Genomic DNA, 18,211 nt, shown 5'->3' on the forward strand with positions numbered 1-18,211 from the left:
CGTACACAGATACATAATATATTCATTTTTATCTTTGGTAAAATATAAATGGAATTGTCAGCGCGCTCCTGTCTGTTTGTTTGTCTAAGGCTATCAAAAGAAGTCAAGAGAGGAGGCTGTGGTCCGGATCCTGACCCTGATTGTATGAATAAGTAAGCAGGATGCAAGTGATTGGGTTAGATGGTGCGAATATTTTTTTTTTTCAAGTTAGGAAGAGGGTAAAAAGACAGGCTGGCGGGGGGAAGGCAAACAGTGCATCCCCAAATCCTCACACTTTTGCTCTCTTGCAGTCAGTTGCTTTGCTGGCTTCTGCAGGCTTTTAAGGTCTCGCGGCGTAGAAATGCCTGGCCCCCACCCCCTTCCTCGGTCTCCCCTTTCAATTCAGATGTGCTGATGTGCAGACCGGATTCATCTTCTCGGAGCTGCGGCGGCGGCTTTGGGCTCAGGCGGCGGCGGCTCGCGCTCGGCCGCGGAGTCCTGGCAGCAGCGGGGACGCGGCGCGGGAGTCCGAGCTCTGGTGGCAGCTGAGCCCGCGGGGCGCCGCTCGCCGAGCCGCGGCCGCGGGAAGTTCGGCAGCCAGAAGGACGACCTGGCAGGCTGCGAGCGCCAGCGCCGCCAGAGCCGAGTTTGCCTGCGCCCTCCCCGCCTCCGAGTGCAGAGTTCCTTACCTGCCCTCCGCCCACCCGTGGGCCCCTAGCCAACTTCTCCCTGCGACTGGGGGTAACAGGCAGTGCTTGCCCTCTCTACTGTCCCGGCGGCATCCACATGTTTCCGGACACCTGAGCACCCCGGTCCCGCCGAGGAGCCTCCGGGTGGGGAGAAGAGCACCGGTGCCCCTAGCCCCGCACATCAGCGCGGACCGCGGCTGCCTAACCTCTGGGTCCCGTCCCCTCCTTTTCCTCCGGGGGAGGAGGATGGGGTTGGGAACGCTTTCCCCGAGGATGCTCGTGTGGCTGGTGGCCTCGGGGATTGTTTTCTACGGGGAGCTATGGGTCTGCGCTGGCCTCGATTATGATTACACTTTTGATGGGAACGAAGAGGATAAAACAGAGACTATAGATTACAAGGACCCGTGTAAAGCCGGTAAGTGGCTCTCCAGGTTGGGACGGTGGCGCGCCGGGGGCCGCTGCGCTGGGTTTCCCATGGGTGGCGGTGGGAGCTCACCTGTTTCCTTCCCTCCCGCGTCAGCCCCTCCGCCGCCCCTCCTTCTCTCCCCCTCCTTTTCCTTCCCTTCCCCACCCGCAAGTGGCAGCCGCTGCGGCCCCAGTTGACTAGAGTTCTGTGCCAGTGGGATCCACTGCCAAGCTCCCATCTCCCAGTTTGGGAATAAGGTCCTAGAGTTTCTGATCCCTCTCCCCTCCCCCAGCAAAACGAAACAAGTCGTAAATATAGCTTGCTGCTGTAGGTTTTAAATTCCAACACTCAGCGGGCTTTATGCATATGGAAGGGACACCGTCTTCTTTCCCCTCTCCCCCAGGGCGCGGTTTCCCAGCGCTTGTTCGAGAGCGAGTTGGCAGGGTTCCCCAAAAGATACAGGAGGATGGCATTGCTACCTGGAGACACCTTGGCTCCCTCTTTTACCAGGAATTTCAAGTGTGGGTTCCAGGCTAGAAAGGGATTGTGACAATCTCGGAAGAACTCACTTCTAGATGGGATTCTGATGCATTTGCCCATTTAAAATAAACTGAAAAGAAAAATGTTTTTAAGTTGCTACCCCATTCAAATTTGTGTCTTCCTTCCAGCTAACACCCCAGGGAAATGCAGTCGGACCGGCACTGCCTGAAGCTCAGCTTCTTGCCTCGCAGGGTCCCTGAATGTCCCAGGTCCTTCCCCTCCCTTCTACGCCTCTGGCGCCGCTGCCAGCCTCTCGCGCGCGCGGGGCGGCGCTTCCCTCTCGCCGCCTAAGGTCGGAGGCGCACGTGCCCGGGGCCGCTACCACGTGAGCGCAGCGCCTGAGGGCGCCCAGCACTGGCCGCGGCTCGTGTCCGGGCTTCGGGAGCTCCTGGTTCCTTGCTCTATTGGGCTGTGGCTGAGGTGATCCGCGCTCAGTGTGGACGCACAAGTAACTTCGTAAAGGTTGCATGGTGGTTGGGGCTAACCTAGCAGAGCGGTTTGTAAGCGGAAGGCACGTTAGGTTCCATCCCAAGAGGTGTGGGCTTTAGCGAAGCGCAGAGGAAGGGAGTGGACAAAGTCAAATATATCTAGGGTTCTGCAGATTCCGTGCGGGGTTGCTCTGTGACTAGCTTTTCTTCCCTTCCATAACTAGATAAGCATTATTCACCCTCTCTTGGGCCTGGAGGAAGGAGAGGTGTACACAATGAAGAAAAATGCTGGAAATTCCCTAGTTAATTTTTACCTTTGATGACCCATTGTTCTGACAAAAAGGGTATGTGTGTTGTGTTCACATTATCACATCTTTCTCGGTGCATCCTTAAATGCAGGTACTTATTTAAAAGCCAGAGTAGCTTAGCAGGAGCCTGTTAGGCTGGAACTCAGAATTCTGATTTAATTCAGTTTTGCTGATGAATTCCCTGCTGTCACTTTTAATAACTGTATCTATTTTCCCACTGAAAGTTTCTTGGGCCACCCCGGATGGTTTGGACAAGGAGATGCTGATTGCTGTGGTGGGTGACTAGTGGCTGGGCATTCAGAATCTGTTCTCTGCAACTCCTTAAATGTACTTTTTGCTAAGAAATTTCTTTTGAATAATGTTGTAACTTGCTGAAAATTGTGCGTTTTCTTGTTTGTGGTAAGGTAGAGATGAAGTACATTATTTCAAAAGATTGTCTAGGAAAACATCTACTTTGATACCCTGTTCTGTGAAAGATTCAAGCAGATAAGTATTTGCACCATGTGTATTGAAACACACCTCAGACATTAGTGTTTAGTTTCCTCAGCAAATAAACATCTAGGCAAGGAAAAAAAAAAACTTTAATAGCATTTACTTTTTGTTTCCCCTTTGATGCTGGTTTATTTTTGAATATAGCTGTTGAAAATAAAGCAACAATAAAACCAACGTTGAATGGATTATTACCCTAATCTTATTTCTTCTCTGTTTTTGAGAAGAGGCATACCAGTGCACACCTGTGTGTGTGTTCACACGCATGCATGTGTGTGTGTAATGAGAGGGAAATAAGAATGGCCTAAGTGGAGGGCTAAGAAGTATGCACAGAATGTGAATCCCTTTTAAAATTATCTACCCTGCTTTTGAATTTAGGCTTCAATTTACCATCTTGGCTCAATACAGGCAAAATTTTAGTGCCTCCTTTTTACCACTGGGAAAGTCAAATCAAAGTTCCAATAACAGAAAAAAAATGAAATACTACATTGAAATCCCAAGCAAGAGTCAAAAAAAAAAATCACTGAAATAAGGAAGATGGGGACGGGTCTGTGAAAGAAAGCCATGCAAAAGCAAAAGAGAAGGTACTTTCCAGACACTTGGGGCATCTTTGATCTGCCCTTTCCAAATAACAGATTGGAGGGCATGGCCCATGAAATAAAAGGCCCTTTCTGAGCTCCTCTAATAGGGTCTTCATATTCCTCAAAGTACACAGAGGCTTGATATCACAATGACAATCATGGCTTCGTGGTTTTAAAGCACTTTTGAGTGTTGGTGTTCACAACAGCTCAATATGGTAGAGTTTGTTACTCTTCCCATTTTACAGATAGGAAAGCAGAGGCCCAGTGAGGTTACATGTCTTCATTAAGATTATTCAGAACTCAATTCCAAGTTTCCTGGCTGCAAGTCTGGCTGTATTTGACAATTACACTGCATTCTTAGTTGGCCTTTTGGAGGCTTTCATTGAGATGATAACAATAGAAATTAGTCCAGGTTTACCAGGAGTCCAGACTACTAGAGATGCGATTGCTTGCATATCTGATATAGGTGAAGCGAAGATCATAGCTTCATATTTTTGAAACTCAAATCCTTGAGGACAGAGACCATAACTGGTTTGTAATGTTTATCACAGGAATGGATTACTACTGTTAGGAATTTAATATGTTCTCAATACCTTCTCGATATCTATAGACTGTTGATACTGCCATTTACAAACTTTTTTCTAAACAAGATCAAACGTGTGTTACCCAATGAGATTTGTTTCTGAATTACAACTTTAAAAGTTACACTATCCTCAACACATTTGTGAAATAGAATACAATTTGTTTACCTATCAGAATTCTGATTTCAAGTTCATGAAACTATAGGGTAGGAAGGAATCCTTGTGTTAATTTGATAGGATTTTTATTCAGAAAGACATTATAGGTATAAGTGATAGTAGGTGAGTCAGTGCAGCACAGCTGCGGATATATTTACATAGCCAAATCCATTAGGACAAAATATAGGTACTTTATTTCTCTATATAAGTAGATATACACAAAGATACAGATAATTCAAATGAATATCTGTCTGTCTTTCATCAGTGCAGTACACAATCATCTGAATATACAATCAGGTTTCTCTTACTCTCTAGGTCAGGAGGCTCCCAAGGGACACTGGGAAGCTGATGCTGCAAGAGCTCATTCCAGAGCAGAGACTGAGGTGTCCTGTTTCATTGTTGTACTATAGAAATAAATGTGAATCTGAGTATTAATATCTGTGAGGAGCCTGGGCAAATTTAGTTTGTAAGTTAGTCTTCTGCCAAATATGTGTACAGATTACATGGAAAAGCAGATACCTGATGAACTGCGTATTAACACATACCCTTCCTTCTCTTCTCTCCTTCTCTTCTTCCCTCCCTTCCATTCCTTGCTTTTTTACTTCCTTCCCTTCTTTCCCTTCTTCTTTCTTTTTTTTTTTTCTTTTTTTGTATTTACGGGAATATTAAGAAAGCTCAGGCAATTGTAAATAGAATATCTAATAGGAGAAATTGAAGAAATTAGTATTTTTAATTTTGGGTAGAGGGGTATAGAATTGGTGGAGTAAGATGTTTTTGCAGAACAATATCCTTATTCTCTGTAGACATTTGTGAACACCTGACAAAAGACTTTCTACCTAGAAGCTCCTGAGTGAAAGTCCAAAAACCTAGAAATAGGCTTTTGGCATTTTAGAAAACTATTTCTGCTTTTCTTTATAGTCAGTGCCCCAGTGTCCTAGTATGCTAGGCCTTGTGATAATTTTCCTCAGTTTATAATTTCTAGGTAACATTGCCTCATTCTTTTGGCCCTCAGTGTTGTACTTTCTAGCTGAACTGGCCATTTTCGAATTTGATGTTCTTTTCCATATCTTTATTCCATCATAATTTTAGATATGCAAACATTTATTTCTTAGTCGGTGCCTCTCTAGACTGCTGCACTCTCATTTAAAAATGCATTTCATAGAGCTGCTTCTCCTAATCTGTTTCTTCTGTTTTAGTTTTCGTTTCCTCAGATCTTGATTTTTTTTTTTCTCTTCTTGCCTTGGGTGCCAACTCAGAAGTCGCCAAAATACAGTGTTTGCAGAAGGGATGGATAAGACATTATATTCCATACACTTGAATTCTGCTCCTGGTTTGTCAGTAGTAAGTCGTTAGTCCTTGTCTTGAGGGCCCACATCCATATTTGGTCCACAATGGCAGTTACTGTTGTTAGGTGTGAAAAAGATAGATTTTTTTTTTCCTAAATATATTCCCTCAGACTGAGCAAGGTCAAAAGCTCTTCTTTTCTTTTCCTTTTTGTTTGTTTACATAGTCTCCTGAGAGCCTCCCACGTTTTGCTTCTGGGTAGTGTCATTCACAAATTCAAAACCTAAGTGGAACCTCTTCTCTTAGCTAGTTGCTGTAATAATGCATAGAATTCTTGATTCAAGTAGGTGCCCAGTCAACCCTACTTGACTCAGTGTAGGCCTCCTTAGACCAAGGTGAAACAGTTCGTATGTGTAGAGCCTAGAAAAGGCTTTTTGAAAAAGTTAACATAATTCCACAGCTTTCCCTCTTACCCTGATGATGGCTTCCTTTTTTTTTTTTTTTTTTTTTTTTTTTTTCTGAGACAGGACCTCACTCTGTCACCAGGCTGGAGTGCAGTGGCACAATCTTGGCTCACAGCCTCGACCTCCTAGGCTCAAGCAATCCTCCTACCTCAGCCTCTGTAGCAGCTAGGACTACAGGTGCATGCCACCATGCCCAGCTAATTTTATTATTTTAATTTAATTTAATTTTTTTGTAGAGACAGGGTTTCACCATGTTGCCTAGGCTGGTCTTGAACTCCTGAACCAAGTGATTCTCCTGCCTCAAGCTCCCAAAGTGCTGGCATTACAGGCGTGAGCACCCGGCTGACAGTTTCCTTTTCTATGAAAGCCTAATATAAGCCATGTATGGTTCCTCCATCAGAAACCATATTGTCTTCCTCTATTGTGTATGCAGGAATCCTATTTTTGAACATCTTAGCAAATTTCTCTCATGTGAAATTGAGACTTACTTGCCAATAGTTAAAACAATATTCTTTGCAAACCTTCTTATGGCTATTAGTCACCTTAATCATCCTTCAGACCTTTCAATTATTGAGGCCTTGATATGATCGCTTACAGAAAAGAGGTTAGCCTTTAAATTCTTCTGGAACTCAGGTAGGTAGTATTAAGTGCTGATAATTTACCATCATTCATTTTAGAATATTACTTATTCTAATAGTTCCTTAGACCCATCTGCTTAAAATATTTAAAACTAGGACCCTCCTTAAGCTTTTCTAAGAATGCTTAGAGAAGACAGAGGCAAATAATCCATTTAAAATGAGGCATTGCACATCCTGCTGAGACCATCTGGTGTCTAGGGAAGTGGTGGGGGTGGGTGAGCCATGTTGCTCCCCTGAACTGTCAGAACTCCGCCCTGCAGCATCTTGAGCTCAGACTTAGGCCAGGACTCGGGGGCCTGGCAAGGTTCCTGAGGATGTAGGATTTCCTCATCCTCAGGATGAGGGGAGTTTGGAAACCTCTTAACAGTTCTTTCATATTCCAGGATCTGGAATTAATTGTGGACTTATCCTTCCTAAATTGAGGAGTGCAGAGTCCTCTCCCCAACCCTGGATATGGCAGAATGATTTAGCAATATGGCTTTCGTGGTTTTTGTCTTTAATTATCTATTGAATACTAACACTTGGGAAGGAAAACTTAAAAAATATATAACCTCAAAGCTATGGAATGAATGACATAGATCGTGTTCTTTTCCAGAAAGCAGGAGGAGAGAATCCCTTGCTTATTTATTTCATTCTTGTCATTGTGAGCCCTAAAAATGGAATACTGACTATTGGACTTTGAGATATTGTGGACTGGCTAATGGACTGCTAGTTTTGTCAGCTCCTTATAGAATGTGTGCTAATCCTGTCAAGCTGTTCTGAAGAGCTCAACTACATATTTTGTATTAAGAAGTCTAGTAAATTAGGTGTTAATTGAAATCCAGAAAGTGAAGCAAGGTGGTGTTTATCTTACTCAGCTCTTCTCTTGCCACTTACATTTAGAGTTTAAGCTAAAACAAATGCTATCCATTGTATTTTTTAAAAGAACTTCTTTGAATGATAGTAATTTTAAAAAGTTGAAATCATATATTAAATGGGTCAGAAGTGCTCTAAATATATTATTTTTTCCCAATCAAAATCTAGTTTTATGTATTGGTATGCTACTTGAAGCATTCAACTCAGTGTTTAAAAAAGACTTCAACAGTTTTTAACACACCATACCATTTTACAAGTCAGGGGAGTTGTTACGGAGGTGGAGATAAAAGCCATATATTTACTCTCAGCATTTTAAATATTCTGTGTTGTTGAGTTTTCCATTGACGACATTTAATTTGTGTGATGAGGGAGGCAGAGATGGAGGGGTAAAAGGGTGAAATAGTTCCCTCATTCCTTACATTTCTCATCTATGTTAAACTGTCAGCACATGGATTGTGTACCACAGAGCCACCTCTGGTAGCTCCTGGCCGGGTTGCTGCTGTAAGTGTCTTCTGAGCTCTCTTCTTTGCCTCTGAGTGTATTTGAAGAGTTTATTGGGATAATCTCAGTTTCTTGTTAAGTGTTGGAAACCACCTTGGCATTAGCTCAGTTGATTGACCATCCAGAAAAGATGGAACTTTGTTCCTCTGCCCTATTCTTTTCAGAGCACAAATACCTAATAGTTGAGGCTTATGGTATTTTGTGTTTCGTATTCAGATTAAAGATAATTAAGTATATGCCTCATTGCATAGAAGTTAAGATCTTTCAAATATCCCCGGGAGAAACACCATGAATAATTAGGAAACACCAAATGGAGAATATTAAAGAAGGGAATGAGTCCTCACCTATCTCAAGTACCTCGCATATCTAGGAAGTCTCTTCATGGCTCACATCATAACATAGTTTACATTTTTGCATTAAAAAATCTAGAGCCTCCTGTCTTCACCATATCCCCATCAATTAACATTATCCCTCCTTCTGGATACGTGAGGAAAACAGGCAAGTGGTGAGGGCTTGAACCTGAGTTTCTATATTTCTGATGACTTTCCTTTTTCAAATTTCTCACACTTGGCTCTGCAGTGAGACTGTCAATTTACATGGTGGTGGACATCCATCCGTTGTGATTTCTTTGTTGAGAATGCCTCTTGCTTTTAGTGTTCTTGCGTTTTTATAAGCCACGTACTGTATTGTCAGAGTAAGACCAGTGTTTTATAATCACATGGAGTTTAGTGCAGGGCCTCCTCCTTCTTGAGAGCATTCTCGTAGTGTGAGAAGTTACGAGTGAAATACCTACTTATGGATGAAACAAACAAAAATGCAAATGACTAATTTTAATAGGATTAGAGACATGTTTGAGGGTGAATAGTGTAGGGGAGACAATGCTGTATGTAGCCTCAAGTATATGCATTGTGACAGCAGGCTTTCCATGTCCATTAAGACAGGGGCTGGGTTGGATGTGGGTAGAATTTAGTCATGAGTGCCCTGCTGCTGGCACAGGCTCTGACATTTTGTATGGTAACATGTTGTTTCACACTTTAAATTTACTCGGAGTATTCATTGAATTCATGATTATGAGCCCATACAGAGTGCAAGAACATCCTTTCAAATGCAGGTGAAAAAAATTCAGGAAAGTGGTTTACAGTGTACACTATGTATGTAAATTATGTGTGAATGCCTTTGAGAAAACAAATATGCTGTGTGAAGTTACTTAAATAACTTCACCTTTTTCAATCCTAACTTGTCTAAAAGCCTAAGGTCAAATGCTTGAAAACTCCTAGAGATAATAGGATCAAATAAACTGCTTGGAACTCTGGCCTGGTTTCCTAAGAGGAGGAAGTCTGGCAAATTCAAAATATATACCATATGTAATATTTACTATACGGGTATTATAATTTTTTTGAAGAAAACATATTATTATTTAGCAAATTATCATATTTTCTAGGATGAAGAATTCCTGCTTGTACTTGTTTCCTAACAAGTGGTAGAACAAAATCTGGTAAAACAGGCTTCTCATTTTTTTCTTGCCTCTTTCTTTTCTACCTAAGACCTAGTGGAAAATTTTCTTTTATATATGTATATTCTTTAGTCCCAAGAGAAGAAATAGTATATAACTAAACCTGAATGCAGTGTAGCTGGCAGGCAGTCACCAGGGTCAGAATAATTGGGTTTTGGTATCTGGAACGGGTAAAGGAAATAATGACCTAAATCAGGGCCCCTGTGTTGCTTTATGTTTCTTTCAATTTTTTTTGAGACGGGTTTTGCTCTTGTTGCCCAGGCTGGAGTGCAGTGGTGTGATCTCAGCTCACTGCAACCTCCGCCTCCCAGGTTCAAGGGATTCTCCTGCCTTAGCCTCCCGAGTAGCTGGGATTACAGGCATGCGCCACCACGCCCGGCTAGTTTTATATTTTTAGTAGAGACGGGGTTTCTCCATATTGGTCAGGCTGGTCTCGAACTCCCAACCTCAGGTGATCTGCCTGCCTCAGCTTCTACTTGGGAAGAGATTTGTGAGCAGTTTGCTGGGTGAACTCCTGACCAAGAGTTAACACACAGAAAGAAGATACGTGTTCGAGGATGAAAATAGTTACAGTAAGAACAGATGAACTAGTGACCAAGAGTTAACGCACAGAAAGAAGATATTGATTGTAGGATATACTTCCAGTTTGTTCCAGGATGAAAATAGTTGTAGTAAGAACAGATCTCTGGCATATACAATGGAACTCAGAAGTAGCATGGGGCTTCATACGCAAAACTGTATGCTTCAAAAACAAGTGTCCTATATTAAATCTTGTTCTTGTATTGAATGGCACGTGTAGCTGAGTGTTTTAAGTTAACTTTGTTAATATCTCCCAGTGATAGAATCAGATTTTGAATTCAAAACTCTGGACTCCATGAGCTGCCATGGTCTGCCTTTCATTTCCTTTCTTTTTTTATGTGGGTACTTTTTTGCAAATTGGAGTTGGTTTAAAAATTATTTTTTCAGGTTTCAAGGAGGCAGAATAATGATCTATTAAAAATGTGGGCTTTGGAGTGAGAGGGCCATGAGTTCTAATACTAAACCCCCCACATAATAACCATGTGTGGCTTTCAGCAAGTTATTTAACCTCATTACATTTCTGTTTTTTGAGCTATAAAATAAAGGTGATATTATAATCCTCATGATGTTGTTATAAGAATTAATTGTAAAGTACACATCGCTTTTTCTGGAACATAACAAACACTGTATTATTTTATCCACAGTAGTATAAATATATAAGATGTGGAGGATTTTTAATCACAACTACTTATTTGTGGAGAGATGATCTTTATGAAATCATTTGTGGGATAAATGTCTTTGTTTCTTCCCATGCGTAAAAACATTTCATATCTCAAGTCCTCTGAACTTTTCAATTGAGAAGATAAATCCCCCCAATAGACCTTGTTTTAAAAGATACCAGAGGCAACCGATAGAAACATTTTCCGTATGTTGTTCTCTTGGCTATTTGCTCATATGCCTAATACACTCAAAATATATTGACAATTTTCAATTCACGTTGACTAAAGTGTGAATAGAGTCTTGGCTATATATATAGTCTTTCGGTAATTTCTGGTTCAGATTTTGTTTGCCATCTGGATCAATTTAAAGAGCTTAGATATTCACAATCTATGTTTACACAGAGCTAAGTTTGAGCACATGGCTCTAAACTACAAATATTCATTAATTCATTAAACAATTTTTGAACATTCTTATGAAGGAAACATAGATTTACCCGAGGGATTTACAGAAGTATGCCTCACCTAGTATAGTCTTCACATTGCCATTTGCAGGTAGATGATTGCTCATGTGTAAATAGTTGTTTATGTATTAATCACATAATTGCATGCTAAGTTATTTTAATTTAGCATTTGAAAATAGATACTATTATAAATTATGGTAATCTGAATATGTGTTCTTATACATTTTTGCTGGATTTTTCTTTACTCAAGATAAATGAAGATTAATATAATATTAATATAATGCTTTGTGGGGAGCACTGCAACTTTTAAGTAAGTACTTTGTAGGCTTTGTTATTTGGCAGTGGACTAGTACAAGTGTAACCAATAATTGCTTATGCAGATATTTGGAAGTAGTCTGTGTAAGCAGCTTGGTTTTAAAATCACACAACTTGATTTTAAAATTTCAACTTGTGGCTGGGCGCAGTGGCTCATGCCTGTAATCCCAACACTTTGGGAGGCTGAGACAGGTGGATCACCTGAGGCCAAGAGTTTGAGACCACCCTGGCCAACATGGGGAAACCCCATCTCTACTAAAAGTACAAAAATTAGCCAGGCATGGTGGTGAGTATCTGTAATCCCAGCTACTCTGGAGGCTGATGCAGGAGAATTGCTTGAACCTGGGAGGTGGAGGTTGCAGTGAACTGAGATTGCACCACTGCACTCCAGTCTGGGTGACAGAGTGAGACTCTGTCTCAAATAATAATGATAATAAAAATAAAATAAAATAAATAAAATTTCAACTTGTTTCTTGTTTTCTCCCACATTATTTGGTAGAGCACAATTCTGTTCTTCACACTGTATCCTTATTCTTAAATACATTTGAAGTTACCGGGTTCACTTTTTCTACATTTATAGGTCAGTAGAAGCAAAAATAAACAGTAAAATGAATGAGGTGAATCTTTATTCTTTTTACTTCTCCTGTTCTACTGTGATTTTGAAAAGTAAATATAAGTTTTGCTTTTTAAAGAATAACCGTATCTGGGTAGTGGTATGAAAACTGGAAAACAAACTAGACTGGTAGTCAAGAAATGGAAACTCCAGTACTGGCTCTATGGCTGTATTTGTGTTGCCCTCAGGACATCCTTTGGTTTTCCTGGGCCTCAGCCTCTGAGGCTTGGAAATCTCTAAGGCTGTTCGAGGCCTAAAGCAATCTGAATCCTGGTGTCTCTGACATCAGAAGCAAGAGCTCCTCTCAAGTGGTACCAAGAAGTTGCAGTGCCAGGGGGCATATGCTGTACACCGAGAGGAAGGGGAAGGTGTTCACACCTCTCCTGGGGTCACTCTTGCTAAACCCTCAGGTTTCTGACAGTTTTGTTCATATCATGGCAGCCACCATAGGCCCTGAAGTAGGCCATGCAATTTCATGACTTGTCTGCCAGAATTAGCCCCGAAAGCAATCAATGCCTAAATTTCCCTCCCTCTTCCTATCTCATTACTTCTGAAAACAAACAAACAAACAAAAAAAAAACTACCAAAGAGTAGCAAGGTATGTGAGAATAGCAGATATCTTACGTGTGTATCAGAGCATGTTAGTGTCACATTACCATCAGAATTGAAGGTTGTTCAGTCGGATGTTTTTTCACAGGAAAAAAATGGATTGGTATATTGGGATGAGGGAAAGCCTATTCTGTCAAGTTTGAGGTCAGTGTTCATAATGGAGAGAAGAAGAACTATAGGCAACAAAACTACAGGAAAATTGTTCTGGCTGAAAGCATTTTACCAAGTACATGACATGTTAACAGATATATCCTTATATTAATTAATTACTTGAATATATCCTTGAAAATATACTTCTGCTTGCCACAATTGGATGTTGTTATTTATCTTCATAAAATTCAGCTCCACAAACCTTTAATTTTTCTTAAAGTGTCTAGTAAGGAACTATTCTTGTTAACTCATTTTATGTATTTTTTTGATGAGTTTAAATTTTCAAATCATCGCCAAAGCAAGTTTCACTTTTGTGGCTTTTATAATAGTAAGAAGGAAGTCCAGTAGAAATCAATAAATGAATCTAGGTAGTGTAATTGAATTAAAAGAGCACTGGATATTCTGTAGGAGACTTAGGTGCAAGTGTTGGCTGTTTTGTTTAATTATATTATCTTGGTCTACCTACAAGTGCTTCAGAGCTTAAGTTCACACATTTGTAATGTGGGGATAGTGATCCCTAGTCTATGAAACATGTAATGATTACATGTGTAAGGTCTTAGTAAACTATGATGCACTGTACAGATTTAAATTAATACAAGCACTATTTTGTATATGATATGTTTCAGGAATATGCCTGGGGGGTACACAAATAAGATGTGTTCTCTTCCTAAAAGGATTTCAAAATCTGCTAGAAAAAAAGTAACAAATACTTTAACTATCAATATAAAAATGCAGTAAACAAAGTACAGTCTCCCTTGGTATTCATGGGGGATTAGTTCCAGCACCCCTCCAGGTAGCAAAATCTGAGAATGCACTAGTCCTATATATAAAATGGCATAGTATTTGAATATAAACCATTCAATCCTCTCATATGTTTGAAATCATCCCTAGATTCCATATAACACTTAATACAATATAAATGCTATGAGAATAGTAATACTGTATTTTTAAAATTCATATTTTTTAACCATTGCATTTATTTATTTATTTTGGAATATTTTCCATCTGTAGTTGGTTGAATCTGTGGATATGGAGGGCTGACTGTTCTATGGTAGCACAGAGGAGGGAATGCATTAATTATGCATCTCAGGGAAGGTGACATTTAAGCTGGATCTTGAAGTCCTGTGATTTTCTTCCTGGAGAAAAGATGGGGCAAAACTTTAGAGTCAAATAACTAAGATAAAAGTTGAAGCTGTGAAAGTTCTTGAATTTTATGAAAATACAGGAAGTGGCAAATGGTCTAACATGGACAGAGCAAAGGATGTGTAAGAGTTAATGCTTTGGCAATAAATGATTCTGAAAAATAGTGTAAAGGGATCTTTAGAGCCCAGGGTGTGACCTTGATCCTGTTGGCAATGAGAAGTGAGCTTACTGAAAATCTAAAGCAGATCATTGGCTTGATTATAGTCATATGTTATAAAGATATGTTAGGAGGTAAAGAGTGAGCTGGTGTAGTTGGTGGAAGAAGTAATGAGAAAGTGGGAGGAGGGAGGCTTGTTAGGTTATAGTAGAAGTAGAGGCAAGCACTGGATGAGTGCTTGCATTTGCACCGTGTCAGTAGCCACAGAAAAGAGGGATTGGAGGTAAGAGACCAGTGACCAGCTGGATGGCTTTGGGGTGAAGGTCAAGAAAGTAAAAGAAAAGAAAAGAAAAGGAGGAGTCAAAGATGACTTCATGGCTTCATACTTTAGTGACTGGATAGACAGTGATACAGATGAGCAAAGTATTAAACAATAAAAAGCTAAGTTTGTGTTTTGTAAAGCAATTGAATTTGGTTTTGAGAACCCTTTGACTTGCATACAATCCTTTATTTGGTATCACAGGTCCCCTCATGTTGTTGTTTTTCAGGCGTATATTGGTTAAATTTGGACTTTGTATGCCATATTAACTTTGAAATCAACTTGTCAAGCCTCAACATTTACATTTTGATTGCCATGGCATTGAATCTATGGATTATTTTAAAGAGAATTGTTTTTATAATATTGAACATTCTAATCCATTAACATGGTATATATCTGTATTTGTTTAGGCCTCCTTAAATACTGTTTAATATTTAATATTTTTATCTGTAATTTGTGCCTGCTTTTGATATAGATTTATTCATATATTTTTATTTTTTGATGATATAATGTAGCTTTAAAAAATTATTGTTAAGACCAGTTGTTGCTATTATGCAGAAATGTGTTTGATTTTTTATATTTTTACTTTATTCCAACATTCTTGACAGTCTTGTACGTTTTAATAATTTATATGTATATTCTTCATATAGGCAATCAGATTATCTGCAAATAAACGTGGTTTTATTTCTTCCTTTATAGTCCCTCTGTTTTTAATTTAATTTAATTATTTTTTTGCTGTGCTGACAGCCTCCCAGTGTTGCACAGAAGTGCTGACTGAGGGCTAGCTTGCTCTGTTCTTAATTTTAAAGGGAATGCTTTCAATTATTTACCAATTATTCTATTTGGTATTTTTTTAAACATAGGCACTTTTTATCAAATTAGGAATTCTGTGTTTACTAAAAATGATATAATTATCCTTATTTCACCATTTAAAGTGGTAAATTAGAATAATTAATTTACTAATATTAACCTACCTTGCATTCCTGGGATGAAGACAATTTAGGCATAGTCTATTCCTTTTTTTACATCTCTGGATGCAGTTTATTGTTACTTTGTTTCTGTGTTTATCAGTTTAATTGACTTAAATCTCTCCTCATTCTACTCTTCCTGTTGGGTTTTATTTGTTCCTTTAATACACTGGAAAATATTTTTTTTTTTTGCCTCCGTAACAGCACAAGATCACTTTAAACTAAATTCTCTGCTTGAGTGTATTAGGCTTCTGTCATAATGTCAATTCAGAATGCAGACCTATTACCTATTTTGGGTATGGTTCTTGCTTATGTGGTCTCAGAAGATATTTGTTTTTCTCCCCTCTACTTAGTTTCAAGCTTCCAGAAAATTCTCGTGTGCAAGTACCTGGGGTGGTATGAGTTTAATTTTCATTCTTCCTTATACTTAGAAGCCCCAGATGTGGGAATCCCTGATTTTGGAGGGATTATTGTATTACACTTTCCAGCCTGGGTGGGCCTTGCCCTATGTCTTCTATCCTTAAAGCCCTATGAGACATCAAAATTCAATGGTCATGCCAACAAATTTTGGCAAATGCCCTCAGTTGAAAGCTGGTTTTAGTCCTCTGCTTATCTCTCTGGATTCTCTCATTCACTCAGTGATGAATATATTTCACTCTTCTGTCATCTATTGATACATTCAGGGCTTTAAAAAATACTTTATCTAGCATATTGAGTTATGCAGGAAGCTCAGCGCCAGTACCTAGTCTGTCATTGTGACAGAAACAGCAGTCATTAACATGGACTTTTAAATGTTAAACATCATCAGGGAACTTTGTTACAGAACTTAGATGTTATGATGATTAAATGGCTTTATTTGAAACTCATTTATCGTTATATATCAAATATAACCCTAAGGTCCTCTCTGAAAATATATCAGATATCTAATTTGCTTAACATGGGGATTTTATAATAATCAAACTACTATTTGTTTAAGCTGACTTTTGAGGATATTCATTCAGTCCTGTGCATGTGTGATAAATCCAGAAGTTTTTTGAATTATTTGTAAACATTTCATTGTAAGGGTAAAAATTTTTGTACCTTTCACTTGAAAAGATTCAATTCAGATTTCTTGGGAGAAGAACATCCAAATGTAACTCAAACTACCTATTGTGATTTGCAGAGGAAAGACAGTGTTTGCGTAAAGTGGTATCACAAGTTACCTGTACTGACTTGCTGCCTTCAGGCAGATTTGATTATTCTTTAACTTTGTGGAACAGCTAAGTAGGATTATGCTTTTCTTTGTCAGTGAGGTGGATTGGAAATATGTTTCTGCATCTTTTGATGCTTAGGTGATACTTATTGCATTCTGTTTTATTGATATTAATAGAGAAGCAGCTCACCATCATCAGTCATTTCAGTTTTTTGAAAACAATTAATAAGGTTTCCATTTTTTCTTTATTTAAAATAAGTTGAATTGATTTACATTGTTGTGTGGTTATTAAAACTTTTAATAATACAACTTTGACCTCAATTAATGTTTACAGTCTATTAGTCTGTTCTCATGCTGCTAGTAAAGACCTACCCGAGACTGAATAACTTATAAAGGAAAGAGGTTTAATTGACTCACAGTTCATTCAGTATGGCTGGGGAGGCCTCAGGACACTAACAGTCATGGCGGAAGGGGAAGCAAACACATCCTTCTTCACATGGCAGCAGCAAGGAGAAGTCCAGAGCAAAAGGGAGAAGGCCCCTTATAAAACCATTAGGTCTCATGAGAACTCACTATCATGAGAACAGCACGGAGGTAACTGCCCCCATGATTCAATTAACTCTCACCATGTCCCTCTCATGACATGTGGGGATTATGAGAACTACAATTCAAGATGAGATTTGGGTGTGGACACAGCCAAACCATATCATTCTGCCACTGGCCCCTCCAAAATCTCATCTTCACATTTCAAAACACAATCATGCTTTCCTAATAGTCCCCCAAAGTCTTAACTCATTCCATCATTAACTCAAAAGTCCACATTCCAAAGTCTTATCTGAGATAAGTCCCTTCTGCCTATCAGCCTGTGAAATCAAAAGCAAGTTAGTTACTTCCTAAATATGGTGAGGGCTCAGGCATTGAGTGAATACACCACTTCCAAATGGGAGAAATTAGCCAAAACATAGGGGCTATACGCCCCATGCAACTCTGGAATCAAGGGGGGCAGTCAAATCTTATAGCTCTGAAATGATCTCCTTTGACTACCTGTCTCACATCCAAATCACACTGACACAAGAGGTGGGCTCCCATGGCCTTGGGCAGCTCTGCCTCTATGGCTTTGCTGGGTACAGCTTCTCTCCTGGCTGCCTTAATGGGCTGGCATTGAGTGTCTGCACCTTTTCTAGGCACAAGGTGAAAGCTGTCAGTGGATTTACCATTCTGGGGTCTGGGGACTCTCTTCTCACAGTTCCACTAGTCAGTGCCCCAGTGGGGACTCTGTGTGGGTGTTCTGACCCTACATTTTCCTTCCATACTGCCCTAGCAGAGGTTCTCCATGAGGGCTCTGCCCCTGCAGCACACCTCTGCCTGGACATCCAGGCACTTCCATACATCTCTGAAATCTAGGCAGAGGTTCCCAGACCTCAGTTCTTGACTTCTGTGCACCCCCAGGCACACCACCACATATAAGCCACCAAAGCTTGGAGGTTGCACCCTCTGAAGCAATGGCCTGAGCTGCATATTTTTCCCTTTTAGCCACGGTTCAGATGCAAGTCACTAAGTGTTGAGACGCACAGAGCAGGAAGACCCAGGGCCTGGCCTGTGAAACCATTTTTTCCTCCCAAGCCTTCTGGCTT

The 18,211-nt window shown here is 40.0% G+C and overlaps 1 protein-coding gene across 2 annotated transcripts in view; it reads left to right on the forward strand.

The window, feature by feature from the left end:
• Positions 247 to 18,211, forward strand: part of TLL1 (tolloid like 1) — a 231,221-nt gene continuing 213,256 nt past the window's right edge. For both annotated transcript variants that reach the window (NM_012464.5, NM_001204760.2), the window contains exon 1: positions 247 to 1,083. In NM_012464.5, coding sequence (NP_036596.3) covers positions 915 to 1,083 — 169 coding nt within the window. In that variant the 5' untranslated portion in view covers positions 247 to 914. The remainder of the gene's footprint in view (positions 1,084 to 18,211) is intronic.

The sequence above is a fragment of the Homo sapiens genome, chromosome 4 (genome assembly GCF_000001405.40).
Source record: "Homo sapiens chromosome 4, GRCh38.p14 Primary Assembly".
NCBI classification, from domain to species: domain Eukaryota; kingdom Metazoa; phylum Chordata; class Mammalia; order Primates; family Hominidae; genus Homo; species Homo sapiens.